At 46.9% G+C, this 26,048-nt stretch overlaps 1 pseudogene, besides 7 other annotated features; it reads left to right on the top strand.

Moving 5' to 3' along the window:
• Window positions 5,410–5,459: an enhancer, noted in NCBI's record as "active region_13841". NCBI's record gives its function as "activates an Ori minimal core promoter by ATAC-STARR-seq in GM12878 lymphoblastoid cells {active_cell/tissue: GM12878}" and the evidence as "EXISTENCE:reporter gene assay evidence [ECO:0000049][PMID:35858748]".
• TGFBR1P1 (TGFBR1 pseudogene 1) lies at window positions 7,576–8,310 on the top strand (annotated as a pseudogene).
• Window positions 10,097–10,166: an enhancer, noted in NCBI's record as "active region_13840". NCBI's record gives its function as "activates an Ori minimal core promoter by ATAC-STARR-seq in GM12878 lymphoblastoid cells {active_cell/tissue: GM12878}" and the evidence as "EXISTENCE:reporter gene assay evidence [ECO:0000049][PMID:35858748]".
• Window positions 18,083–18,212: an enhancer, noted in NCBI's record as "active region_13839". NCBI's record gives its function as "activates an Ori minimal core promoter by ATAC-STARR-seq in GM12878 lymphoblastoid cells {active_cell/tissue: GM12878}" and the evidence as "EXISTENCE:reporter gene assay evidence [ECO:0000049][PMID:35858748]".
• Window positions 22,149–22,238: an enhancer, noted in NCBI's record as "active region_13838". NCBI's record gives its function as "activates an Ori minimal core promoter by ATAC-STARR-seq in GM12878 lymphoblastoid cells {active_cell/tissue: GM12878}" and the evidence as "EXISTENCE:reporter gene assay evidence [ECO:0000049][PMID:35858748]".
• Window positions 22,279–22,338: an enhancer, noted in NCBI's record as "active region_13837". NCBI's record gives its function as "activates an Ori minimal core promoter by ATAC-STARR-seq in GM12878 lymphoblastoid cells {active_cell/tissue: GM12878}" and the evidence as "EXISTENCE:reporter gene assay evidence [ECO:0000049][PMID:35858748]".
• Window positions 24,689–24,898: an enhancer, noted in NCBI's record as "active region_13836". NCBI's record gives its function as "activates an Ori minimal core promoter by ATAC-STARR-seq in GM12878 lymphoblastoid cells {active_cell/tissue: GM12878}" and the evidence as "EXISTENCE:reporter gene assay evidence [ECO:0000049][PMID:35858748]".
• Window positions 25,209–25,308: an enhancer, noted in NCBI's record as "active region_13835". NCBI's record gives its function as "activates an Ori minimal core promoter by ATAC-STARR-seq in GM12878 lymphoblastoid cells {active_cell/tissue: GM12878}" and the evidence as "EXISTENCE:reporter gene assay evidence [ECO:0000049][PMID:35858748]".

Here is a 26,048-nt window from a genome sequence, read left to right as displayed (position 1 = left end):
CCTTAAAATATGCTTCTCCTAACAGACCACTCCTCTTCCTTTAGAGTAGAAATTGTATTTAGCACGAACATGAGTTATTCAAGGATTAGGATCAAGGACAGACAAGGTATAGAAGTTATCTTAAAAATAAACACTCCTGGCTAGGTGTGATGGCTCATGCCTGTAATTCCTTGGGAGGCCAAGACAGGTGGATCACCTGAGGTCAGGAGTTCAAGAGCAGCCTGGGCAACATGGTAAAACCCCATTTCTAGTAAAAATACAAAAATTAGCAGGGTGTGGTGGCACACGTCTACATCCCAGCTACTTGGGAGGCTGAGGCAGGAGGATCGCTTGAACCCAGGAGGCAGAAGTTGCAGTGAGCCAAGATCATGCCACTGCACTCCAACCCGGGCGATAAACCAAGACTCCATCTCAAAAAAACAAAAACAAAAAAAAAAAAGAAAAAGAAGAAAAAGAAAAGAAAAGAAAAAAGAAACAAACAAAAAAACACTACTGGAGGGTGCAATGGCTCATGCCTATAATCCCAGGACTTTGGGAGGCCAAGACAGGCAGATCAACTGAGGTCAGGAGTTCGAGACCACCCTGGCCAAACATGGCAAAACCCTGTCTCCACTAAAAACACAAAAACTAGCCAGGCGTGGTGGCACATGCCTGTAGTCCCAGCTACTTGGGAGGCTGAGGCATGAGAATCTCTTGAATCTGGGAGGCAGAGGTTGCAGTGAGGCAAGATCATGCCACTGCACTCCGGCCTGGGAGACAGAGTGAGACCCTGTCTCTAAATAAATAAACAAATGCATTAATTAAATAAATTTTAAAAAAAAACACTCCTGGCTGGAAACAGCGGCTCACACCTGTAATCCCAGCACTTTGGGAAGCTGAGATGGGAGGAGTGTTTGAGCCCAGGTGTTCAAGACCAGCCTGGGCAACATAGTGAGACCTCATTTCTACAAAAATTTTTAACAATTAGGTGGGTGTGATGGCATATATATGCACACGCATACACACTCCTAAGCAGTATTATTTTAAAGTCCTTTTGCTCTACCTACCTCCCTTACCCATGTCCCTCTCTCCTCTAATTTGGAGACACTCTATCACTAACTTTTCACTTGGGAAGTAGTTTGCCATCTCTGAGGAGTCCTCACTATTGTGCCCGTTTCTTGTGCATGGATGGCAGAACTTTTGAGGTGCAATTTTTGTTTTTGTTTTGTTTTTCCTTTTTTTTTTTTTTTTTTAGACAGAGTCTCACTGTGTCACCCAGGCTGGAGTGCAGTGGCACGATCTTGGCTCACTGCAACCTCTGCCTCCCAGGTTCAAGCGATTCTCCTGCCTCAGCTTCCCAAGTAGCTGGGATTACAGGCACCTGCCACCTTCCCCAGCTAATTTTTGTATTTTTAGTAGAGACGGGGTTTCACCACGTTGGCCAGGCTGGCCTCGAACTCCTGACCTCAGGTGATCAGCCCACGTTGGCCTCCCAAAGTGCTGGGATTACAGGCATGAGCCACCGTGCCTGGCCTAGGTGCAATGTTTAACTGTTAAAATAGTAGCCATGGCTGGGTGCAGTGGCTCACGCCTATAATCCCAGCACTTTGGGACGCTGAGGCAGGCATATCACTTGAGCCTCTGACTTTGAGACCAGCCTGGAAAACATGGCGAAACCCCATATCTACAAAAAAAATACAAAAATGAGCCACACGTGGCACCCGCCTGTAGTCCCAGCTACTCAGGAGGCTGAAGTGGGAGGACTGCTTGAGCCAAAGAGGTTCAGGCTGCAGTGAACCATGATCCTGCCATTGCACTGCAGCCTGGACGACCCTGTCAAAAAAGAGAAAAAACAAAAACAGTAGCCACTTCATCAGGCAGCCCCAAACTGGTGCATAATGGGTGGTAAGAAGAATATTTACATATATTTAGGAATTTTGTAACATTTAGTAAGACTATAAGAAATAATTGCTACTGTATCCAAAATATTGTTTCAATTTCCTCTATGCTGTATAAGTACTAAAGAATATTACCACCAGAGATGAGAGCCTCCTACAAAAAGTCACTATGGATTTTGCTTTGTAGATAGCTTTTTTTTTTTTTTTTTTTTTTTTTGAGACAGAGTCTCACTCTGTCACCCAGGCTGGAGTGCAGTGGCGCGATCTCGGCTCACTGCAAACTCCACCTCCCGTGTTCACACCATTCTCCTGCCTCAGCCTCCGGAGTAGCTGTGACTACAGGCGCCCGCCACCACGCCCGGCTATTTTTTTGTATTTTTAGTAGAGACGGGGTTTCACTGTGTTATCCAGGATGGTCTGGATCTCCTGACCTCGTGATCCGCCCGCCTCGGCCTCCCAAAGTGCTGGGATTACAGGCTTGAGCCACCGCGCCCAGCCTGTAGATAGCTTTTTACTTTTGCCTAAAAGCATTTATCCTTCATACCAATTGTAACATCCGACACTATGTGGAAACTAAAAGTTTAGTAGAGGGAGGGAGGATTTTCTCAAGACCTTCCTCAAGCATGTTATTCTTATAAGAGAAACTGATGGGCACTTGATACTCTGTCTCAATATGTTTGTTGTATGTATTTTGCCCCCTGCCACTGACTTGGAACATTATTGCTTTCTTTATTTTAAAAAGCTCATTTTTGAAGCAATTATCAAACTTGCTATTTGTACATCTTTTGAGCAACACTACACAAACTGATATCTAGTTGATTTAGCTATAGCAGTACAGTGATTAGTAATATAAAAATTAACACTTATGAAAATTAACCTAAGGAAGCGTAGGTTTGTCAAAATATCAAGGAAATTTTTGTTTCTAAAGCATATTTAACATACATGATCTAAAGAAGGCATTACCATCCTATATTAAAAACAAGATAAATGCCAGGTATGGTGGCTCACACCTGGAATCCCTGCACTTTGAGGGGCCGAGGCGGGTGGATCACTTGAGGCCAGGAGTTTGAGATCAGCCTGGGCAACCTGGTGAAACCCATCTCTACTAAAAATGCAAAAATTCGGCCAGGTGCAGTGGCTCATGCCTGTAATCCCAGCACTTTGGGAGGCCGAGATGGGTGGATCACTTGAGGCCAGGAGTTCAAGACCAGCCTGGCCAACATGGTCAAACCCCATCTCTACAAAAAAATACAAAAATTAGCTGGATGTGGTGGCGTGCGCCTGTGATCCCAGCTACTTGGGAGGCTGAGGCAGGAGGATCACTTGAACCTGGGAGGCAGAGGTTGCAGTGAGCTGAGATCACACTGCTACACTCCAGCCTGGGCAACAGAGAGAGATTATGTCTCAAAAATAAATAAATAAATTAGTTCAGAAATTACAGTGAAAATACTGCCACTGAATCTGGAAACCTAAATATTATGGAGATAACTGGGTACCAGGGTATCCATTAAAATAAATAAATAATTTTTAAAAATTTTAAGAGCTCTAACAGTTTGGCATGTTGCTTCAATCATGGACCAGAAAGTGACCTACACCAAATGAAGTTGGAATATCAGAACTACCTTGGTACACAAAGAAGGGAAGAGATATAGCAGTTAGGATACAAGGCTGGGCACAGTGGCTCACACCTGTAATCCCTGCACTTTGGGAGGCCGAAAGATCTCAGCTCACTGCAACCTCCGCCTCCTGGGTTCAAAAGATTCTCCTGCCTCAGCCTCCTGAGTAGCTGGGATTACAGGCATGCGCCACTGCACCTGGCTAATTTTTGTATTTTTAGTAGAGATGGGGTTTCACCATGTTGCCCAGGCTGGTCTCAAACTCCTGACCTCAGGGGATCCACCTGCCTCGACCTCCCAAAGTGCTGGGATTACAGCCACAGCGCCTGGCTTAGGGACTAACATTTAAATCAGCAGACTTTGGGTAAAGTCCCTGGGAGATCCTCCATAATGTGGGTGGGCCTCAACCAATCAGTTGATGGCTTTAAGAGAAAAAGACTGAAATCCTCCACAGGGAGAAGGAGTCCTGCCTCTAGTCTCTGACTTCAGATTCAACAACTCTCCCCGGGGTGTCCAGCCTGCCCTGCAGATTTCAGACTTGCCAGTCCCATCAATCATGTGAGACAATTCCTTTTTTTTTCTTTTTTTTTTCTTTTTTTCTTTTCTTTTTTTTTTTTTTTTTTTTTTTTTTTGTATTTTTAGTAGAGACGGGGTTTCACTGTGTTAGCCAGGATGGTCTCGATCTCCTGACCTCATGATCCGCCCGCCTCGGCCTCCTAAAGTTCTGGGATTACAGGCGTGAGCCACCGGGCGCGGCCATGAGAGGAAATTTCTTAAAATCTCTCTCTCTCTTCCCTTCTCTAACCCCCTATATGTGCATATCCACAGGGGTTACACAGTCTGTTGCAGCTACTGAACTCTGCTATTGCAGCATGAAGGCAATTATAGACATTACATAAACAAATGATCATGGCTGCATTCCAATCAAACTTCACTTACAAAAACAGGCAAGGAGGCCGGGCACAGTGGCCCACGCCTGTAATCCCAGCACCTTGGGAAACCAAGGCAGGTGGATCGCTTGAGCTCAGGAGTTCGAGACCAGCCTGGGCAACATGGCAAGATCCCATCTCTACAAAAATAAAAATAAAAAACTAGCCGGGCGTGGTGACACATGCCTGTAGTCCCAGCTACTTGGGGAGCTCAGGCAGGAGGATTGCTTGAGTCTGGGAGGTCGAGGCTGCAGTGACCCATGATGGTGCCACTGCACTCCAGCCTGGGTGACACAGTGAGAGCATGTCTCAGAAAAAAAAAACAGGCCATGGACTAGATTTCACCTGCTAGATTTGACTCTAAAATATAAACTGCTTGAGAGCAGAAACTAGTCTTTCTTTCTTTTTATTCCGTATCATTGACCTAGAAAAATGTGGGCATAGCTGGTGCAGTGGCTCACACCTGTAATCCCAACATTTTGGGAGGCTAACGTGGGAGGATTGCTTGACCCCAGGAGTTTGAGACCAGGCTGGCCAACATGGAGAGGCCCCTGTCTCTACCAAAAAGTTAAAAAAACAAAAAAATTAGTTGGGCATGGTGGTGTGTGCTTTTAGTCACGCTACTTGGGAGGCTGAAGTGGGAGGATTGCTTCAGCCTAGGAAGGAGGTCGAGGCTGCAGTGAGCCATGATCACGCCACTGCACTCCAGCCTGGGTGACACAGTGAGACTCTATGTTAAAAAAAAATAATAAAAATGTTTAAAAAAAGAAAAGAGGACTGCTGATTAGTTGATATTTTATACCCCCAAGGGCTAATGATACCATTTGATCTGCTTAAAACATGGGCCAAAGGACGGAGCAAAGCTCACCCGACTAGTCCTGTGTTTCTTTCTAAGAAATCGCCTTCACAAATGCCCCAAGACTCCCTCCTGTTTCTCAAATCCTCTCACACTGCATGGGGAATTTCCCAGAACTTCCCTGGCCTCTGAGCCTGTGGTTTCCTCTGGCTTTGTTTCTTAACCTCGATCTTGTCAGATTCATCATAAATGAAACTTCTAAATCATACCCACAAGGGAGACGAGAGGGGAAATCGGGAGACAGAGGAAGAGATAGGGAGAGATTGAGAGACGGAGAGCTAGAGATAGAGAAGTAGAGAAAGAAAGATAGAGAAATAGGGGATACAGAGATATAGAGAGATCAAGAGATAGATTGAAATAAAGAGACAGAGGTAGAGACGTGAAGAAAAAGACAGAGATAGATAGAGATGGAGATATAGAGATAGAGATACAGATGGACAGATAGACATAGAGAGAGAGATACAGATAGATAGAGATGGAGATACAGAAATAGAGAGATACAGACAGAGATTGAGATAGAGAGATTGAGATACAAAGAGAGATACAGAGAGATAGAAAGAGATAGAGATGGAGGGATAGAGATAGAAAGATAGGTAGAGATAGAAAGATAGAGATGAGATAGAGACAGAAATAGATAGGTAGAGAAACAGATAGAGATAGAGAGATAGAGATGGAGAGAGACAGAGACAGAGATGAAGAGATCGAGAGATTGAAATAGAGAAATACATAGAGATAAAGAGATAGAGAGAAAAAAGGAAGAAAAAATAACAAAAATAGAGAAAATAAAAAACAAAATTTAAACAAATTTCAAAGAGATAGAGATAGAAAGATAGAGAGATATAGAGAGACAGAGATAGGGACAGAAAGGGAAAGAGACAGAGAAAGAGAGAGAGAGAGATGAGGAGAGCAAATGATAACGCAAGCAGGCCCGAATATTAACTGGGGAATCTGGGTGAAAGACACAATGGGTATTCCTTGTACACTTTTCATTCATGTAACCTTCCTTTTTGTTTTGTTTTGAGACAGAGTCTGTCTCTGTTGCCAGGCTGAGGTGCAGTCTCTATCCTGGGCTCACGCAGCCCTCCCACCTCAGCCTTCCAAAGTGCTGACATGACAGGCATGCGCCACCATGCCCGGCCTACTTTGCTTTACATTTGAAGTTATTTCCCTAAAACAGTCTTCTAAAAGAAGCTCATTCTATAGGCTATCTTAAATTCTTCCCTTGTCACTAATTTCTCAAGCCACTCATGCCGCTAGATTCACTCCCATGATTAAAAATAGCCCTTGTAAAATCACCCTGTGACTCCCATGGTTCAAACTCCAGTAAATGTTTTCAGTTATCTTTTAATTTTTTTTTAATGTGTGGGAATGTGTGGGTTCCACATGAGACCAAATTTTAGAGAAGAACAAAAACTGAGCCACAGAGTCTGCCCGGATTTACCAGGCTGGGTTTACTTTTGTTTTGTTTTGTTTGAGACAGAGTCTCAGTCTGTCACCCAGGCTGGAGTGGAGTGATGCAATCTCGGCTCACTGCAACCTCCACCTCCCAGGTTCAAGTGATTCTCCTGCCTCAGCCTCCCAAGTAGCTAGGATTACAGGCACCTGCCACCAAGCCTGGCTAATTTTTTGTATTTTTAGTAGAAATGAGGTTTCACCATATTGGACAGGCTGGTCTCGAGCTCCTGACCTCAAGTGATCTGCCCGCCTCAGCCTCCCAAAGTGCTGGGATTACAGGCATGAGCCACCTTGCCCAGGCTGGGTTTACTTTTAACTCATAGCTAAGGTAGAAATGGCTGAGCAAAAGCAACTGAAGAGAGAATGAGCTTCTCCATGATTCTTTTTTACAAAAGTTTATTCTTGAGGGGGAGAATGAAGAGAAGCTGATTAATGGGTACAAATACACAGTTTGATAAAAGAAGTAAGACCTAGAGTTTGTTAGCTCAATTGGGTGTCTATAGTTTACAAGAATCTATTGTCTCGTTGGGTGTGGTGGCTCACACCTGTAATCCCAGCACTTTGGGAGGCCCAGGTGGGCAGATTACTTGAGGCCAGGAGTTCGAGACCAACCTGGCCAACATGGTGAAACCCCATCTCTACTAAAAATACAAAAGTTAGCCAGGCATGATGGCGGACACCTGTAGACCCAGCTACTCGGGAGACTGAGGCAGGAGAATCACTTGAACCTGGGAGGCAGAGGTTGCAGTGAACTGAGATCGTGTCACTGCACTCCAGCCTGGGCAACACAGTGAGACTGCCTCAAAAAAAAATTGTTTAAGATAAAAAACATAAATAAATAAACCGGGTCTGTGACCACAATATGTTGCTGCAATCAGGACCATTGCAATAAAATAAAACACTCAACTACTATGAAGCCGTCGCCTGGCCCAGGTCTCATAGAACTGGCAGCTGTCATTGCCTCCTCTGCATCTCACTCATGTTAATGATCTGTTTCTGCCACAACCGCACTGTCACTCACCATCAAGTGTCAAATAAAGAGGACCCTTCATTAGATTATCCTTTTATTAGGCCAGGCACGGTGGCTCACGCCTGTAATCCCAGCACTTTGGGAGGCCAAGGCGGGCGGATCATGAGGTCAGGAGATCGAGACCATCCTGGCTAACACAGTGAAACCCCGTCTCTACTAAAAATACAAAAAAATTAGCCGGGCGTGGTGGCGGGCGCCTGTAGTCCCAGCTATTCGGGAGGCTGAGGCAGGAGAATGGTGTGAACCCTGGGGGGGCGGAGCCTGCAGTGAGCCGAGATCGCGCCACCGCACTCCAGCCTGGACGACAGAGCAAGACTCCGTCTCAAAAAAAAAAAAAAAAAGATTATCCTTTTATTTCAGAGGGAACTACATTAAAAGATTTAATTTATGATATGACAATATCAGGCTCTGGATCAGGTCTACCATTGCTTGTTCAGAGAACAATTGTGAAAACTATTGTTGTTACAGGAACACTGGCAAAGGTGAATGTGAAGAATTTTGGCGAGGAAAGCGGCGGGGAGAAGTTGTCATTAAGATATTCCCTTCTTGCCTGGGCACGGTGGCTCACGCCTGTAATCCTGACACTTTGGGAGGCTGAGGTGGGTGGATCACTTGAGGTCAGGAGTTCGAGACCAGCGTGGCCAACAGGGTGAAACCCCATCTCTACTAAAAATACAAAAATTAGCTGGGCGTGGTGATGCAAGCCTGTAATCCCAGCTGCTTGGGAGGCTGAGACAGGAGAATTGCTTGAACCCGGGAGATGGAGGTTACAGTGAGCTGGGATGACACCACTGCACTCCAGCCTGGGCAACAGAGGGAGACTCCGTCTCAACAACAACAACAACAAAAAAAGGTATTGTCTTCTAAGAAAAGGAACGCTTTTACACTGTTGGTGGGAATGTAAATTAGCTCCACTATTGTGGAAAACAGTGTGAGGATTCCTCAAAGACCTAAACACAGAACTACCATTCAGTCCAGCAATCCCACTGCTAGGTGTAAACCCAAAGGAATATAAATCATTCTATTATAAAGACACGTGCATGCATATATTCATTGCAGCATATTCTCAATAGCAAAGACGTGGAACCAACCTAAATGGCCATCAATGGTAGAATGGATAAAGAAAATATGGTACATATACACCACGGAATACTATGCACCATAAAAAAGAACGAGATCATGTCATTTGCAGGAACATGGATGGAGCTAGAGGCCATTATCCCTAGAAAACTAACGCAGGATCAGAAAAACAAATACTGCATGTTCTCACTTATAAGTGGGAGCTAAATGATAAGAACACATGGACACATAGAGGAGAACAACACACACTGGGGCCTATCAGACGGTGGAGGGTTGGGGGAGGAAGAGGATCAGGAAAAATAGCTAATGGATACTAGGCTTAGCACCTGGGTGAAATAACCTGTAAAACAAACCCGCATGACACAGGTTTACCCATATAACAAACCTGCACATGTACCCCTGAACTTAAAGTTAGTTTTTGTTTTTTTTGTTTTGTTTTGTTTTGTTTTTTGAGACGGGGTCTTGCTCTGTCACCCAGGCTGGAGTGCAGTGGCGTGATCTTGGCTCACTGCAACCTCCGCATCCCAGGTTCCAGCGATTCTCCTGCCTCAGCCTCCTGGGTAGCTGGAATTACAGGCACACACCACCACGCCCAGCTAATTTTTGTATTCTTAGTAGAGACAAGGGTTTCACCATGTTGGCCAGGCTGGTCTTGAACTCCTGACCTCAGGTGATCCACCCACCTCCGCCTCCCAAAGTGCTGGGATTACAGGCATGAGCCACCGCGCCCGGCCCCAGGTTAAATTTTTTAAAATTTATATTTATGGAATCATGGAGAACTTCTCATCTAGAGAAGAACGTTTGTGACTCTATGAGGCAGAGATTTATCAAATTGGCAGGTTACGTCATGAAAACCTCCTGGGAGAGCCAGGGCCAGCCACACCCGGCCACAGACTAATTTTTCCACCAGGGAAAGTTTGTCCAGCTTATTGTGAAAATTCGTGTGGTATTGATGGCTGTGGTGGGCTGTCTGGCTGCTGCCATCACATGGCTGCTGCAGGGAGGGCCCAGGGAGGAGGCTGACAGCTCCCCGGCCACGCAGCCCACAGCCCTCTGGAGCCCACGCCCTGCTGGAGCAGCGCGGTCGGGCAGAGAGGGGCCCGGATGTGGAGCTGGGGCCGTGCTTTGGGGGCGGGGGCAGGAAGAGGGAGCAGCGCCCTCTTTGGGGACTAGCCAGCCGCGCAGCCACTGCACCCACCCCGCAGAGGGTTCAGGGTTCCTAGGCATCAGGAGGAGGCTCTGTGCAGGGCTTGCCAGCCGTGTTCTTGGGGTCCACCCCGCATCAGAGCGACCACCAAGCCTGCCACTCCCCGTGGCCAGGCTGGGGCCAGGATCAGCTCCCCACAGGCTGCCCCTGAGTGCCGGGGCAACAGGGGCAGTTCGTGGTGATATTGCCCCTGCCCTGGGCGCCAGCCCAGGCCCGGCAAGGATCAGGAATCCCCGCCCCAGCTTGCAAGGGGGAGCACCTGAAGCTGCATCCTGGGCCTCTGCAGCCGCCCAAGTTGTGGCCGCAGATTCAAGCCTCCCTGTGCTCTTGGGGGGCCAGGGAGGCCCCCCTGCCCTTGCAGGCTCCAAAGCACCTGCTCCCACTGCCTGGTTTCTCCCTGCTCTCAGCGCCTGCTCTGATCTTGGAGCAAAGTCAGGGTCCAACCTGGGGCCATGAACGGCAGCAGGAGGCAGACTGATTCCTGGCAGAAGGGAGCAAGTCCTCGCTAAGACCCCACCTTCAGGCCAGGGAGGGCCTGAAGGCTGAGGGCCACCAGACCTGTGGACCAGAGTGGGGACTTGTGATGCCTTTTCCAGGCCCATGCATGGCTGTTAATGGACCAGTCGGCACACACTGCATCCCCTCTGAGGTCCATAAAAGCCCCAGGCTCAGCCAGAGCAGGGCAGAGAAAAAGAGAGACGTCCAGATGACCAGCTGCAGAGAGAAGCCACTCTCTGTGCTAATAGCTGGAGATGACCTGACGACCAGCTGCAGAAAGGAGCTACACTCTCTGCTGAAAGCTGCAGTGAGGATGGGATGACCTGCTGGGCAGAGAGAAGCCACCCTCTCCAAGGCCTCCTCTCTGCTGAGACCTGCAGCCATCAGGAGGACCAGAGAGGAACTACCCTCTCTGGGGTCTCCTCTCTGCTGAGAGCTGAGCACTCAATGGAATGAACTGTCTACAGAGAGGAGCTGCCCACTTTGGTCTTCTCTGAGCTGTTCTAACACTCAATAAAACTCCTCTTCATCCTGTTCACCCTCCACTTCCCTGTGTAACTCATTCTTCCTGGACACAAGACAAGAACTCTGGCAAAGGTGCCAGGGGACACAGATATTTCCGACCAGAAATGTGACACCCTAAAGATTCTGTAACAGTATTACGTAAGCCTTTTTTTTTTTTTTTCTTTTTGAGAGGGAGTCTTGCTCTGTCGCCTGGGCTGGAGTGCAGTGGCACAATCTTGGCTCACTGCAACCTCCACCTCCCAGATTCAAGTGATTCTCCTGCCTCAGCCTCCCGAATAGCTGGGATTACAGGCACACGCGGCCATGCCCAGCTTTTCGTATTTTAGTAGAGATGGGGTTTCACTGTGTTGCCCAGGCTGGTCTCGAACTCCTCAGCTCAGGCAATCCACCCACCTTGGCCTCCCAAAGTGCTGGGATTACAGGTGTGAGCCACTGCACCTGGCCTATGTAAGCCATTTTTATCTGTTCAGAGACAGTGGTTTTTTTTAAGAAATGAATTACATTTAAAATTAGAATATGGTTAATGTTCAATAATAGGCCTTTTTCTAGAAAGGCAAAGAAAGTTAATAATTTGGATAGATAACAGGTGTGCCAGAGCCACATTTGTTATGCAGAGGTAAATGTTCAGTCTGTCCTCTGTCTTGGTGACTGAGGTTACAGTTAGAGTGGTTTTGAGGCCTCACTACACTTTGAGGAAGGCAGCTTTTAATTTAGTGTTTCCATGTGTTTGTATACCATTGGAACTAATTCACACGTGATTTCTGCCCTGAACTCAGTGCACCCTTGATATTTGAGAGAGAGCTAACTAAAGAACATTCTGAGTATTTCTATTTACAGAGGTTTTTGGTCAAATTAAATGCTTTGGGATTTTTTTTTTTTTTTTTTTTTTTTTTTTTTTTTTGAGACAGGGTCTCACTCTGTTGACCAGGCTGGAGTGCAGTGGCACGATCTTGGCTCACTGCAACCTCTGCCTCCTGGATTCAAGCAATTCTCCTGCCTCAGCCTCTGAGTAGCTGGGATTACAGGTGTGCACCACCAACGCCTGGCTAATTTTTATATTTTTTGTAGAGACAGGGTTTCGCCATGGTGCCCAGGCTGGTCTCAAACTCCTGACCTCAGGTAATCCACCCACCTCAGCCTCCCAAAGTGTTGGGATAACAGGCATGAGCCACTGCACCCAGCCTTGCACAATTATTTTGGTTTTATCAGTGTAATCTCTGCCCTTCAAGATATGTACAGAAAATGTCCATATAAATTTTCACTTAAATGGCATGATATTGAGAAGCTGTAAAGAGGAAAAACATATATAAAGCTTCGTTTCCCCACTAGTTTGTTTTTTGGGTTTTTTTGTTTGGTGTTTGGTTTGTTTGTTTGTTTGTTTGTTTTGAGACAGGGTCTCGCTCTGTCACCCAGGCTGGAGTGCAGTGGCTCAATTTCGGCTCACTCCAGCCTCTGCCTCTCAGGTTCAAGCAATTCTTGTGCCTTAGCTTCCCAAGTAGCTGGGACTACAGGTGCACACCATCATGCCCAGCTAAGTTTTGTACTTTTAGAGAAGAAGTTTCACCATATCGGCCAGGCTGGTCTCCAACTCCTGACCTCAGGTGATCGCCCACCTCGGCCTCCAGAAGTGCTGGGATTACAGGTGTGAGCCACCACACTGGGCCCCCCATTAGTTTTCTTCAATTGCATACTGTATTTGTAACAATAGCCCAAATGAATGTAAGTAGGAAATGGAAGAGTAGTGCCTATATGAAATGCTAATACTGCAGTAGAAGAATGCTAGCAGTGCAAATAAATTTTTTCTCAAGGGCCAGTGGCATATTTTTAAAAAGTGTATATATTGGAAAAATAAAAGTTAAAAATAAAATAAAATATATATAATATAAAATATAAATAACATGTTTATTTATAAATGTATATAATATTAAATATTCTTTTTTACACATTTATTCTTTCTTTTTGGAGACAGAATCTGGCTCTGTCACCCAGGCTGGAGTGTGGTGGTGCCATCTTGGCTCGCTGCAATCTCCGCCTCCTGGGTTCAAGCGATTCTCATGCCTCAACCTCCTGAGTAGCTGGGACTACAAGCACGTGCCACCATGCCCAGCTCACTTTTCATATTTTTGATAGAGACAAGATTTCACCATGTTGGCCAGGCTAGTCTCAAACTTCTGGCCTCAAGTGATCCACCACCTTGGCCTCCCAAAGTGCTGGATTACAGGCATGAGCCACCATGCCCCGCCTTTATTATTTAAAATTATTTACTTCGCTTGTATTTCTATTCATCATATTCAACCTCAAATATTAAATAGAAATATAAGACAAAAATAAATTTAGGCTGGGTGCAGTGTCTCGCAACTGTAATTCCAACACTTTGGGAGGCCAAGGTAGGCAGATCGCCTGAGCTCAGGAGTTCTAAACCAGCCTGGGCAACATAGCAAGACCCTGTCTCTACAAAAACATATATATATAAATATATATAAATATAAATATATATTTATATATAATATATAAATATAAATATATAATATATATAAATATAAATATATGTTATATATGTATATTTTATATATATATACACACACACAAAAATTAGCTAGGCATGGTGGTGCACCCCTGTAGTACCAGCCACCTAGAAGGCTGAGGTGGGAGGATTCCTTGAGACTAGCAGGTCAAGGCTGCAGGGAGCTGTGATCACACCTCTGCACTCCAGCATGGGCAACACAGCAAGTAATTAATTAATTTTAAAAATTAGCCAGCCCCAGTGGCTCGCTCTTGTAGCCCTAGCTACACAGGAGGCTGAGGCAGGAGGATCACTTGAGCCCAGGAGTTTGAGGCTGCAGTGAGCTATGACCACATCACTGCACTCCAGCCTGGGCAACAAAATGAGACTCTGTCTCAAAAAATAAATAAATAAATAAAATGAAATCATGTCTTTTGCAGGAACATGGGTGAAGCTGGAGACCATTACCTTTAAGTGAAACAACTCATAAACAGAAAGTGAAATACTGCATGCTCTCACTTATAAATGTGTTGGGAACAGGCCCCCCCAAAGTCTGGCCATAAACTGGCCCCAAAACTAGCCAGAATCTCTGCAGCACTGTGACATATTCATGATGGCCATGACGCCCATGCTGGAAGGTTGTGGTTTTACTGGAGTGAGGGCAAGGAACACCTGGCCCACCAGGTGTTCTTTAAGGGCAGAAAACCGTTTAAAGGCGTTCTTAAACCACAAACAATAGCATGAGCCATCTGTGCCTTAAGGACATGCTCCTGCTGCAGATAACTAGCCAGACCCACCCCTTTATTTCGGCCCATCCCTTCGTTTCCCATAAGGGATACTTTTAGTTAATCTATAATCTATAGAAACGATGCTTATCACTGGCTTGCTGTTAGTAAATACGTGGGTAAACCTCTGTTCAAGGCTCTCAGCTCTGAAGGCTGTGAGACCCCTGATTTCCCACTCCACACCTCTACATTTCTGTGTGTGTGTCTTTAATTCCTCTAGCGCCGCTGGCTTAGGGTCTCCCCAACCAAGCTGGTCTTGGCATAAATGGGAGCTAAATACTGTGTAGATGTGGACATCGTTTTTGCCTCAAAGCCTTATCTTCTTCATTCATCTCCCTGGCCTGTTTCAGGGGATTCTTGCCAACTTCATGGCCGGACATGGTGCCTACCTCCCTTCCTGCCTCAGCTTCTCATCCTGACAGACTCTCAGAAGTTGAATTAGACACCACTGACCACCACTTACTTCTTCAAACACATTTCTCGAAACTTATTTTTTTTCTTTCCTGTCTGGTCACCCCTCCAAATCTCCAAATATGCTGAACACCTGACTTCCAGACACTGCATACATATATACACACACACACACACACATACAGTGAAACCCAATCTCATATATATATACATATATAGGCTTTCTGTTATATATCAGAGTTTCTTGGCACATGGTGAAACCCATCTCTAATACATATACATATGCCTTCTGTTATGTATCAGAGTTTCTTGGCACTTGAGCTTAGACCTTCCTCTCTTCTACACCTTTATTTGTCTGCGTAAGAGATTCATCCTGCCCCCAAAACTTGCATTATATAAAATATACCAACAACTCTCAAATGTGCATTCCAGGCAAAGAGCTTGCATAGCTACAGAAAGGATTCAACACTCCCCCTTGGCCATCCCGGTCAAAGTCCCTCAGCGACATCTGGAAATCCCGCACAATTCAAAGTGATCTATGATCCTCCAGGTTCCCCAAGTCCATAAATGCCTCCACCGTCTACCCTGTTTGCGGCATTATTATATATACAGGCTTTCGTCCACTGTTCCTGGCTTAGAACTACTAAAATCCTTGGCATCTTCAAAGTGCTGTCTTTTGTATATCTTTTGTCTGATGGGTTCAAGGTGAGGCTGGTCACCAGAAAGACCAAGGCAGGATTAGAGGGTTGAGACTTTCAGCCCCAGCCCCCAACCTTCAGGAGGAGGAGAGAGGGGCTGAAGGTCAAGTTGATCACCAATGGCCAATGGTTTAATCAATCATGCCTATGTAATGAAGTCTCCATGGAAATGCCAAAAGACTGGGTTCAGGGAGCTTCCAGTTAACTGAATACAGGAGGATCCCAGAGGACGGTGCATCCAGGGAGGGCATGAAAGATCCACCCCACGTCCCCCATACCTCACCCCATGCATGTCTTCGTCTGTATCCCTAGTAACATCACTTATAATAAATCAGTGAACATAAATATTTCCCTGAGTTCTGTGAGCCACCCCAGTAAATTGATCCAACTCAAACAAGGGGTCGTGGGAACCCCAACTTGAAGCCAATCAGTCAAAAGCTCCAGGCTGGGCACAGTGGCTCAAGCCTGTCATCCCAGCACTTTGGGAGGCCAGGGCCGGCAGATCACGAGGTCAGAAGTTCAAGACCAGCCTGACCAATGTGATGAAACCCCATCTCTACTAAAAAATACAAAAATTAGCCGGGCATGGTGGCGCACACCTGTAATCCCAGCACTTTGGGAAGCTGAGGCGGGCAGATCATGAGGTCAAGAGATCGAGACCAGCCTGGCCGACATGGTGAAACCCCATCTCTACTGAAAATACAAAAATTAGCTGGGCATGGTGGTGCGCACCTGTAGTCCCAGCTACTCGGGAGGCTGAGGCAGGAGAATTGTTTGAACCTGGGAGGCAGAGGTTGCAGTGAGCTGAGATCGTGCCACTGCTTTCCAGCCTGGTGACAGAGCAAGACTCCATCTAAAAAATAAATAAATAAATAAATAAAAAACCTTCCAAAGGCCCAGACTTGCAACTGGTATCTAGGGGCGTGGGCGTCACTCCTGGGGACTAAGCCCCCAGCCTGTGCAATCTGACACCATCTCCACGTAGATGATGTCGGAATTGAATTGGAAGACACCCCGAAACACCCAGCTGGTGTCCGCTGCTAGGTGTGTGGGGAAAAAAACCCCACACATTTGGTCACAGAAGTCTTCTGTATTGATGATTGCGGTGGTGGTGGTGGTGTTAGAGCAGAGGAAAAACAAAGTTTGAGGTGGGCTCAGTGACTCACACCTGTCATCCCAGCACTTTGGGAGGCCGGGGCAGGTGGATCACTTGAGGTCAGGAGTTCGAAACCAGCCTGGCCAACATGGTGAAACGCCATGTCTACTAAAAATACAAAAATTAGCGTGGTGGCAGGTGCCTGTAATCCCAGCTACTCGGGAGGCTGAGGCAGGAGAATTGCTTGAACCCAGGAGGCAGAGGTTGCAGTGAGCCGAGATCACGCCACTGCTACAACCTGGGCAACAGAGCGAGACTGTGCTACAACCTGGGCAACAGAGCGAGACTCCATCTCAAAATAAAATTTAAAAAAAAAAAACAAAAACAGGTCGGGTACAGTGGCTCACGCTTGTAATCCCAAAACTTTGGGAGGCCAAGACGGGCAGGTCACCTGAGGTCAGGAGTTCGAGACCAGCCTGGCCAACAGGGTGAAACCCTGTCACTGCTAAAAATACAAAAATGAGCCAGGTGAGGTGGCTCACACCTGTAATCCCAGCTACCTGGGAGGGTGAAGCAGGAGAATCGCTTGAACCCGGGAGACGGAGCTTGCAGTAAGCCAAGATCGCACCACCGCACTCCAGCCTGAGCAACATCACAAACTATGTTTCAAAAAATAATAATAATAATGTTAATAATAATAACAACAGATTTCACATATGAAATCCAATGTCAGCCACTGTGCAATTGAAACTGTTAGCTCATTTAAAACTCCCAAGAGCACTGGACACAGTGTTTCATGCCTGTAATCCCAGCAATTTGGGAGGCCATGGCAGGCAGATCACCTGAGGTCAGGAGTTCGAGACCAGCCTGGCCAACATGGTGAAACACACCTTTACTACAAACACAAAAATTAGCCGGGCGTGGTGGCAGGCGCCTGTAATCCCAGCTACTCGGGAGGCTGAGGCAAGAGAATCGCTTGAACCTGGGAGGCGGAGGTTGCAGTGAGCTGAGATCGCACCACTGCACTCCAGCCTGGGGGATAAGAGCGAGAATTCGTCTGTAAATAAATAAATAAATAAATCTCCCAAGAGCCCATGAGAATTATTTTCCAGTTTTATAACTGAAGACATGAGCCCAGAGAGGTGAAGACCCTTGCCCAGGGGTGCACAGCCTAGCCAGCACTGGCAGAACCAGGGCTCAAACTCAGCTCTGTCAGCTCCAAAATGCATCCTCTGCAGACCACACTATCCATCTCCACTCCTGGCTAGCCACATAACCCCAACACACACATATTCACAAGAGTTGCTGGTGGAAGGCGTCGGGTTTTCCACTCTGCCTTCCCCACCGAGGCGTCTCACCCCGCTGAGATACCGCAACAGGCCGAACTAGTCCCTCATCTTCATCCGGATCTCTGGCACCAGGGGTTTCCTGAGCTGACCAAGCCAGAGATTGCGGGCAGCAAGACAAAGGTGAGATGAAACCTGCGACAAGATGCAACCGTCAGGAAAGTGGGCTTGAAAACTGTCCCCTTCTGGGAAACCTCAGAATGGGGATCCCCAGAATGGAAACTCCCCCCTGAAAGGGGCACACCTACCTCAGTGGTGTAAGCACATTGCTGCTTCCTGACATCTTACCTCTTGTAAACAAACAGTCTTTTTTCCCACCCCATGCCTTTGGACAAATCCTCATTCCCTGATCCCAAACCCTAGAAGCCAGATTTGGAGATCTAGAATTTAGAGGCCAGGCGCGGTGGCTCACGCCTGTAATCCCAGCACTTTGGGAGGCCGAGGCGGGCAGATCACGAGGTCAGGAGTTCGAGACCAGCCTGGCCAACATGGTGAAACTCTCTCTCTACTAAAGATTAAAAAAAAAAAAATTAGCCGGGCGTGGTGGTGGATGCCTATAATCCCAGCTACTCAGGAGGCTGAGGCAGGAGAATCTCTTGAACCCGGGAGGCGGAGGTTGCAGTGAGCTGAGATCGCACCATTGCACTCCAGCCTGGGCAACAGAGCAAGACTCTGTCTCAAAAAAAAAAAAAAATTAGAATGTAGAAAGGTAGTATGATATGTGTAGCATGGATTACCCCCTCTGGGGGCTCCTGGAACACCCCCTCATAATCAAGCATACTTGACTCATGTAAACATCCCTGTTTCATCGCAGGTTATACAATGAATAAAGATCATCAATACAATTACATGGGCACAGTCAAGTTCAGCTGCCAAAGGAGTTATGACAAAGTCAATTTTCTGCTTGCGAGATTAGCATTTTTTCCAGCTTTAGGTATATGAATATACTATGTATGTGAATTATATATAGATATAATGTTAAATTATATATGTAAAATGTGCATATATGATTTACCATTTTTTCCATTATTAAGGGTTCAGTTCAATGATAATAAATACATTTGTATTCTTTATTTTTCCTCATCCCCTCTCCCCTCTTCCTAGCCTCTGATATATATATATATATATATATCTGATGAGAGAAAGAGAGAGTCTGGTTCTGTCACCTAGAATGGAGTGCAGTAGTGCAATCATGGCTCACTGCAGCCTCAAACTCCTGGCCTCATGCGATCCTCCCGCCTCAGCCTCCCAAGTAGCTGGGACTACAGGTGCACACCGTTGCACCCAGCTAATTTTTTGCAGAGACAGGGTCTCCCTACGTAGCACAGGCCAGTCCTGAACTCCTGCGCTCAAGTGATCCTCCTGCCTTGGCCTCCCAACGTGCTGGGATTGCAGGCATGAGCCATCACACCCAATCATATTTATATATAAACATATATTTAGTCCCTGGGCTACAGATGTGAGTGAAGGCTCAAATCTAGCCCATAATCTGCTCCCAAGTCAGTGCACCTTGGCTTCTGTCTGGTAGAAGAAGGGGGTTCTTGGCAGGGCATGGTGGCTCACACCTGTAATCCCAGCACTATGGGAGGCCAAGGCGAGTGGATCACTTGAGGTTAGGAGTTCCAAACCAGCATGGCCAACATGGTGAAACCACATCTCTACCAAAAACTATAAAAATTAGCCTGGCATGTGGTGTGCACCTGTAGTCCCAGCTACTATTGAGGCTGAGGTAAGAGAATCACTTGAACTCAGGAGGCAGAGGTTGCAGTGAGCCGAGATCACCCCACTGCACTCCAGCCTGAGTGACAGAGAGAGACCCTATCTCAAAATTAAAAAAAAAAAGAGGAAGAAGAAGGGGGTTCCTTATTAATCCAATAAAAACACCTTTTTTTTTTTTTTTTGAGACAGAGTCACGTTCTGTCTCCCAGGCTGGAGTGCAGTAGTGTAATCTCGACCCACTGCAACCTCCACCTCCAAGGTTCAAGCGACTCTCCTACCTCAGCCTCCTGGGTAGCTGGGATTACAGGCACTCGCCACCACGCCTGGCTCATTTTTGTATTTTTAGTAGAGATGGGGTCTCACCATGTTAGCCAAGCTGGTCTTGAACTCCTGACCTCAAATGATCCACCCGCCTCGGCCTCCCAAAGTGCTGGGATTACAGGCGTGAGCCACCACGCCCAGCCCATCTTTCTTTCTTTCTTTCTTTTTTCAGATGGAGTTTTGCTCTTGGTGCCCAGGCTGGTGTGCAATGATGTGATCTCCGCTCACTGCAACCTCCGCCTCCTGAGTTCAAGTGATTCTCCTGCCTCAGCCTCCCGAGTGGGTGGGATTACAGGCATGCAGCACCACGCCCGGCTAATTTTCTCTTTTTAGTAGAGATGAGGTTTCTCCATGTCGGTCAGGCTGGTCTCAAACTCCCGATCTCGGGTGATCCATCCGCCTCAGCCTCCCAAAGTGCTGGGATTACAGGCATGAGCCACTGCGCTCGGCCTCATCTTTCTTAACTGAATGTTGGTATCCTTTGACCAACACCTTTCGTTTTCCCCACCCACAGCCCCTGGCAAGCACCGCTCTATTCTCTGCTTCTATGTGTTTGACTATTTTAGATTCCGCATATAAGTGAGATCGTGTAGTATTTGTCTTTCTGTTTGGCAACGTTAGAGTCGTGGCTATGATATTATAAAGCTGTGGCTGTTTACAATATCCTATCCTTGCATAATTGCTTTTATAACATTATGACTTTGTAACTCCCTTCTTGGCAAGAGTGTTCTTTTTTTTAAGACAGGGTGTCTCTCTGTCGCCCAGGCTAGAGTACAATGGTGTGATCACAGCTCACTGCAGCCTCGACCTCCTGGGCTCAAGAGATCCTCCCGCCTCGGCCTCCCAAGTAGCTGGAGCCACAGATATGTACCACCATGCCCAGCTTGGCGATATCTCTATAACATCACAGCTGTGTCATGGTAACCACTCTTCTGTGAGCTGTTGCTTCTTTCTAATACCCACATCTGTTATTGTATGATGTCATCTGTAAATCTGTGTGTCACTGCTTGAGCAATGCACCTTTGTGTTGCCTTGTCTGTCATATCTCTCAACACATCCTGCTCAATGTATACTATTTTCACTATCTCTTATTTCACTATCTCTCATAGTATTTTTACTCTCTCTATTATTGGCCTTGCTTGCCAGCTTTTTGAATCAGCCTTTTTTTTTTTTTTTTTTTTTGACATGGAGTCTCGCTGTGTCACCCAGGCTGGGGTGCAATGGCAAAGTCTCAGCTCACTGCAACCTCCACCTCCTAGGTTCAAGCAATTCTCCTGCCTCGGCCTCCCGAGTAGCTGGGATTACAGGTGCCTGTCACCATGCCCAGCTAATTTTTCTATGTTTAGTAGAGGTGGGGTTTCACCATATTGGCCAGGCTGGTCTCGAACTCCTGACCTCGTGATCCACCCACCTCAGCCTCCCAAAGTGCTGGGATTACAGGTGTGAGCCACTGTGCCTGGCCGCAACCCCTCTATTGTACCATTGTGTTTCTGTAACATTCTTTCTGTCCATTTGAGTGTCCTTAATAATTGCTACCGTTTAATGAATGCTAACCAGGAGCCAGACACTGTGCATTGAAAGTGTATTAAAGTATCAATTCCTGGCTGGGTGCAGTGGCTCACGCCTGTAATCCCTACACTTTGAGAGACCCAGGCGGGTGGATCACTTGAAGTCAGGAGTTCAAGACCAGCCTGGCCAACATGGCTAAACCCTGTCTCTACCAAAAATAGAAAAATCAGCCAGACATGGTGGCATGCGCCTGTAGACCCAGCTACTTACTCGGGAGGGTAAGGTGGGAGAATCGCTTGAGCCCGGGAGCGGAGGTTGCAGTGAGCTGAGATCGTGCCATTGCAGTCTGCTTGGGTGACAGAGTGAGACTCCATCTCAAAAAAAAAAAAAAAAAAAAATTATCAACTCCTTTAATTCTCTTTTTAAATTGATATGGCTGTTATAACAAAGTAGCTCATATTGGGGGCTTCAACAGCAGAAATTTATTGTCTAACAGTTCTAGAGGCTGGAAGTCCAAAACCAAGGCATTGGCAGATGTGGTTCCGTCTGAGGGCTGTAAGGGAAGGCTCTGTTCCAGGCCTCTCTCCTTGGCTTGTAGATGACATTTTCCTTTTTTTTTTTTTTTTTTTTTGAGACGGAGTAGCTGGGATGCTGGGATGACAAGTGAACGCCTCCACACCCGGCTAACTTGTGTATTTTTAGTAGAGACGAGGTTTCGCTTTGTTGGCCAGGCTGATCTCAAACTCCTGACCTCCAGTGATCCACCAAAGTGCTGGGATTACAGGCATGAACCACCGAGCCTGACCATGGATTCCATTTTCTTCTCCACGTGGTGCTCTCCCTGTGTGTGTCTGTGTCCAAATTCCACCCCCTACCCTCACTTCTTTTGGAGACAGGATCTTGCTGTGTCACACAGAGCGGATTGCAGTGGTAATCACAGCTCACTGCAGCCTTGACCTCAAGGTTCTAGTGATCTCCCATCTCAGCCTCCCTAGCAGCTGGGACTACAGGTATGCACCACCACACCCAGCAAATTTTTGTATTTTTTGTAGAGACGGGGTCTTGCTATGTTGCCCATGACTGGTCTCAAGCCTCTAGGCTCAAGCAATCCACCTGGCTTGGCCTCCCAAAGTGCTGGAATTACAGGCAGGAGCCCCCCTATCACATCCAGCCAAAGCCCCCCTTTTATAAGAACATCAGTCATATTGGATCAGGGCTTACCCTAATGACCTCATTTTAACGTGATCACCCCTGTAAGACCCTATCTCTAAATAGATGCAAAGTCAGGCTGAAAAGGCTGGAACTCAGGTACTTTCCCCATTTGGAACTAAACTTTCTCATCAGAGAACGGGCCTCAGAAGCAAGGTTATGGTTGGGTCATTGTAGATTCAGGGTATGGAAAAGAAACCTCAAACAAGAAAAACAGTTCCAATAAGAAATACCGGGGGGGTGGGCGGACATGGTGGCTCACGCCTGTAATCCCAGCACTTTGGGAGGCTGAAGTGGGTGGATCACTGGAGCCCAGAAGTTGGAGACCAGCCTAGCCAACATGGTGAAACCCTGTCTCTACTAAAAATGCAAAAATTAGCTGGGCGTGGTGGCGCATGTCTGTAACCCCAGCCACTCAAGAGGCTGAGGCAGGAGAATTGCTTGTGAACCAGGGAGGTGGAGGTCGCAGTGAGCTGAGATCGCACCACTGCACTCCAACCTGGGTGACAGAGCTAGACTCCATCTCAAAACAAACAAACAAACAAACAGAAATATAATTTTCCTTTTTTCCCTTAACAATTATACAATACAATCAACAGACTGTAATAGAAAACTGTCCCTGCTTCCAAATCAACAGTGGACCATTGTATGCATTGTCAGGTCTTTACATAAGAAGAGTGAAAGCTTTATTTGTAATTCTTTGTGGGGCAGGCGTGGTGGCTCACGCCTATTATCCCAGCACTTTGGGAGGCCGAGGCAGGCAGATCACGAGGTCAGGAGATCGAGACCATCCTGGCTAACACAGTGAAACTCCGTCTCTACTAAAAATACAAAAAAAATTAGCCGGGCGTGGTGGCAGGCGCCTGTAGTCCCAGCTACTCCAGAGGCTGAGGCAGGAGAATGGCATGAACCCGGGAGGCGGAGCTTGCAGTGAGCCGAGATCACACCACTGCACTCCAGCCTGGGTGACAGAGCGAGACTCCGTCTCAAAAAAAAAAAAAAAAAAACCACAAAAATTAGCTGGGCGTGGTGGCACATGCCTGTAGTCCCAGCTACTCTGTAGGCTGAGGCAGGAGAATTACTTGAACCAGGGAGGCAGAGGTTCCAGTGATCTGAGATTGTGCCACCACACTCCAGCCTGGGCAACAGAGTGAGACTTCAACTAAGAAAAAAAAAAAAAGAAAGAAAGAAACACAGAAGCAGTCCAAGCCTCTGATAAACTCCCTGAATAAATGCTTAAAAACTCCTAGTCTGTAAGAGAGTGTGCCTCTGACCTAACTCGGCTAGAAGCCCCTCTCAGGTTTATTTTCTCTAAAATAAACCTGTCCTTGACTGTTAAGCCACCTTTCATGTTTCTTTCCTCTTTCTTTAATTCTTACAGATGGTGGAGGATTGCTCAAGCCCAGGAATTTGAGACCAGCCTAGGCAACATAGCAAGACCTCATCTCTACAAAAAAATAAATAAAATTGCCAGGTGCAGTGGCTCACGCCTGTAATCCCAACACTTTGGGAGGCCAAGACAGGAGGATCCCTTGAGGTCAGGAGTTCAAGACCAGCGTGGGCAACATGAGGAGACCCCGTCTTTACAAAATTAAATTAAATTAAATTAAAAACAAGCCTCTAGAAGTTGGAAAAACAAGGAAAGCAATTATCCTCTAGAGCCTCCAGAAGGAAAGCAATCCTTCAGTCAACTTGATTTTAGCTTAGGGGAGCTCAGAACCCCAAGGGGGCCAGGCACGGTGGCTCACGTCTGTAATCCCATCACTTTGGGAGGCCAAGGCAGGCAGATCACTTGAGGTCAGGAGTTCGAGGCCAGCCTGGCCAACATGGCAAAACCCCAGCTCCACTAAAAATACAAAAAAAATAGCCAAGAGTGGTGGCCTGTACCTGTAATCCCAGCTACTCAGGGGGCTGAGGCAGGACAATCACTTAAACCCAAGAGGCAGAGGTTGCAGTGAGCCAAGACTGCGCCACTACACACCAGCCTGGGCAACTGATGAGAGTCTTTCTCAAAAAAAAAAAGAAAAAAGTAGGTGTGGACACAGAGCCAAACTATATTAATGACCTTCTTTGGAAATAGGGTCTTTGCAGATGTAATTATTTAAATTAAGATGAGGTCATATTGGAAGAGGATGGGCCCTGAATCCAGCATGACTGGTGTCCTTATAAAAAGGGGAGAGTTCGGGCCTGGTGCCTTACACCTGTAATCCTGGCACTTTGGGAGTCTGAGGCAGGAGCGTTGCTCGGAGTTCAAGACCAGCCTAGGCAACATAGCAAGACCCTGTCTCTACAAAAAAAACAATACATAAAAAGGAAGAAGAGGCCGGGCATAGAGGCTCATGCTTGTAATCCCAGCACTTCGGTAGGCCAAGGCAGGTGGATCGCTTGAGGTCAGGAGAAGTTCAAGACCAGCCTGGCCAACATGGTGAAACCCAGTCTCTATTAAAATAGAAAAATTAGCTGGGTGTGGTGGCATGTGCCTGTAATCCCAGCTATTCGGGAGACTGAGGCAGGAGAATTGATTGAACCCGGGAGGTGGAGGTTGCAGTGAGCCGAGATGGCGCCACTGCACTCCAGCCTGGGTGACAGAGTGAGACTCCTTCCATCTCAAAGAAAAAAACAGGAAGAAGAGACAAAGAAATGAAGTCACACAGAAAGAACACAGCCATGTGACCAACAGAGGCAGAGACTGGAGGATTGCTGGCAACCACCAGAACTTAGGAGGAGGCAACGAAGGCCTTCTCCCTGGAGCCTTTAGAATGAGCATGGCCCTGTCAAGACCTTGACTTTGGACTCTGGCCTGCAGAACCGAGCGAGAACAAAGCTCGTTTGCTTTAAGCCACCCACTTTACGGTACTTTCTTATGGCAGCCCTAGAAATCTATTAGGTTGAGGCAAAAGTTATTGCAGTTTTGCCATTAAAATGGCAACCCATGTCACCAGCAAGAGGCAAGAAGGAAATCAAAGTAGCTCTGGTGTCTCTCTGGAACTCTGTGGTCACACCTGAGTCTTTGCACAACTTCCTCTTCTCCACTCTCTAGCCTCTGTGGTCCAGCCCACCCACATTTCTGGGGAGACCTGATTGGCCCAGCTCAAGTCACGTGTCCAACCTGACCCAATCAGCTGGGACGAGAGAATTGAATCACCTGTTGCCAGGGGTCTTATTCAAAACAGGCAAACAACCCGCTACCAGACAGGCGGTGACCAATCAGATTTGACTAATCAGATTTGACACTGGCTCCTGGACCAGAATTGGGGGGAACCATCCTCCTCTCCCCACAAATCACATGTTAAGCCCTGGGTTGCAGAATCACAGGGCTATCTTAGCCAGCCAGAGGATGTGTCTAGTTATAGGGGTGGCCGTGAAAGATCTGTATGG

This window comes from Homo sapiens, chromosome 19 (genome assembly GCF_000001405.40).
Source record: "Homo sapiens chromosome 19, GRCh38.p14 Primary Assembly".
NCBI lineage: Eukaryota > Metazoa > Chordata > Mammalia > Primates > Hominidae > Homo > Homo sapiens.
This window is presented reverse-complemented; position numbering and strand designations above follow the sequence as displayed.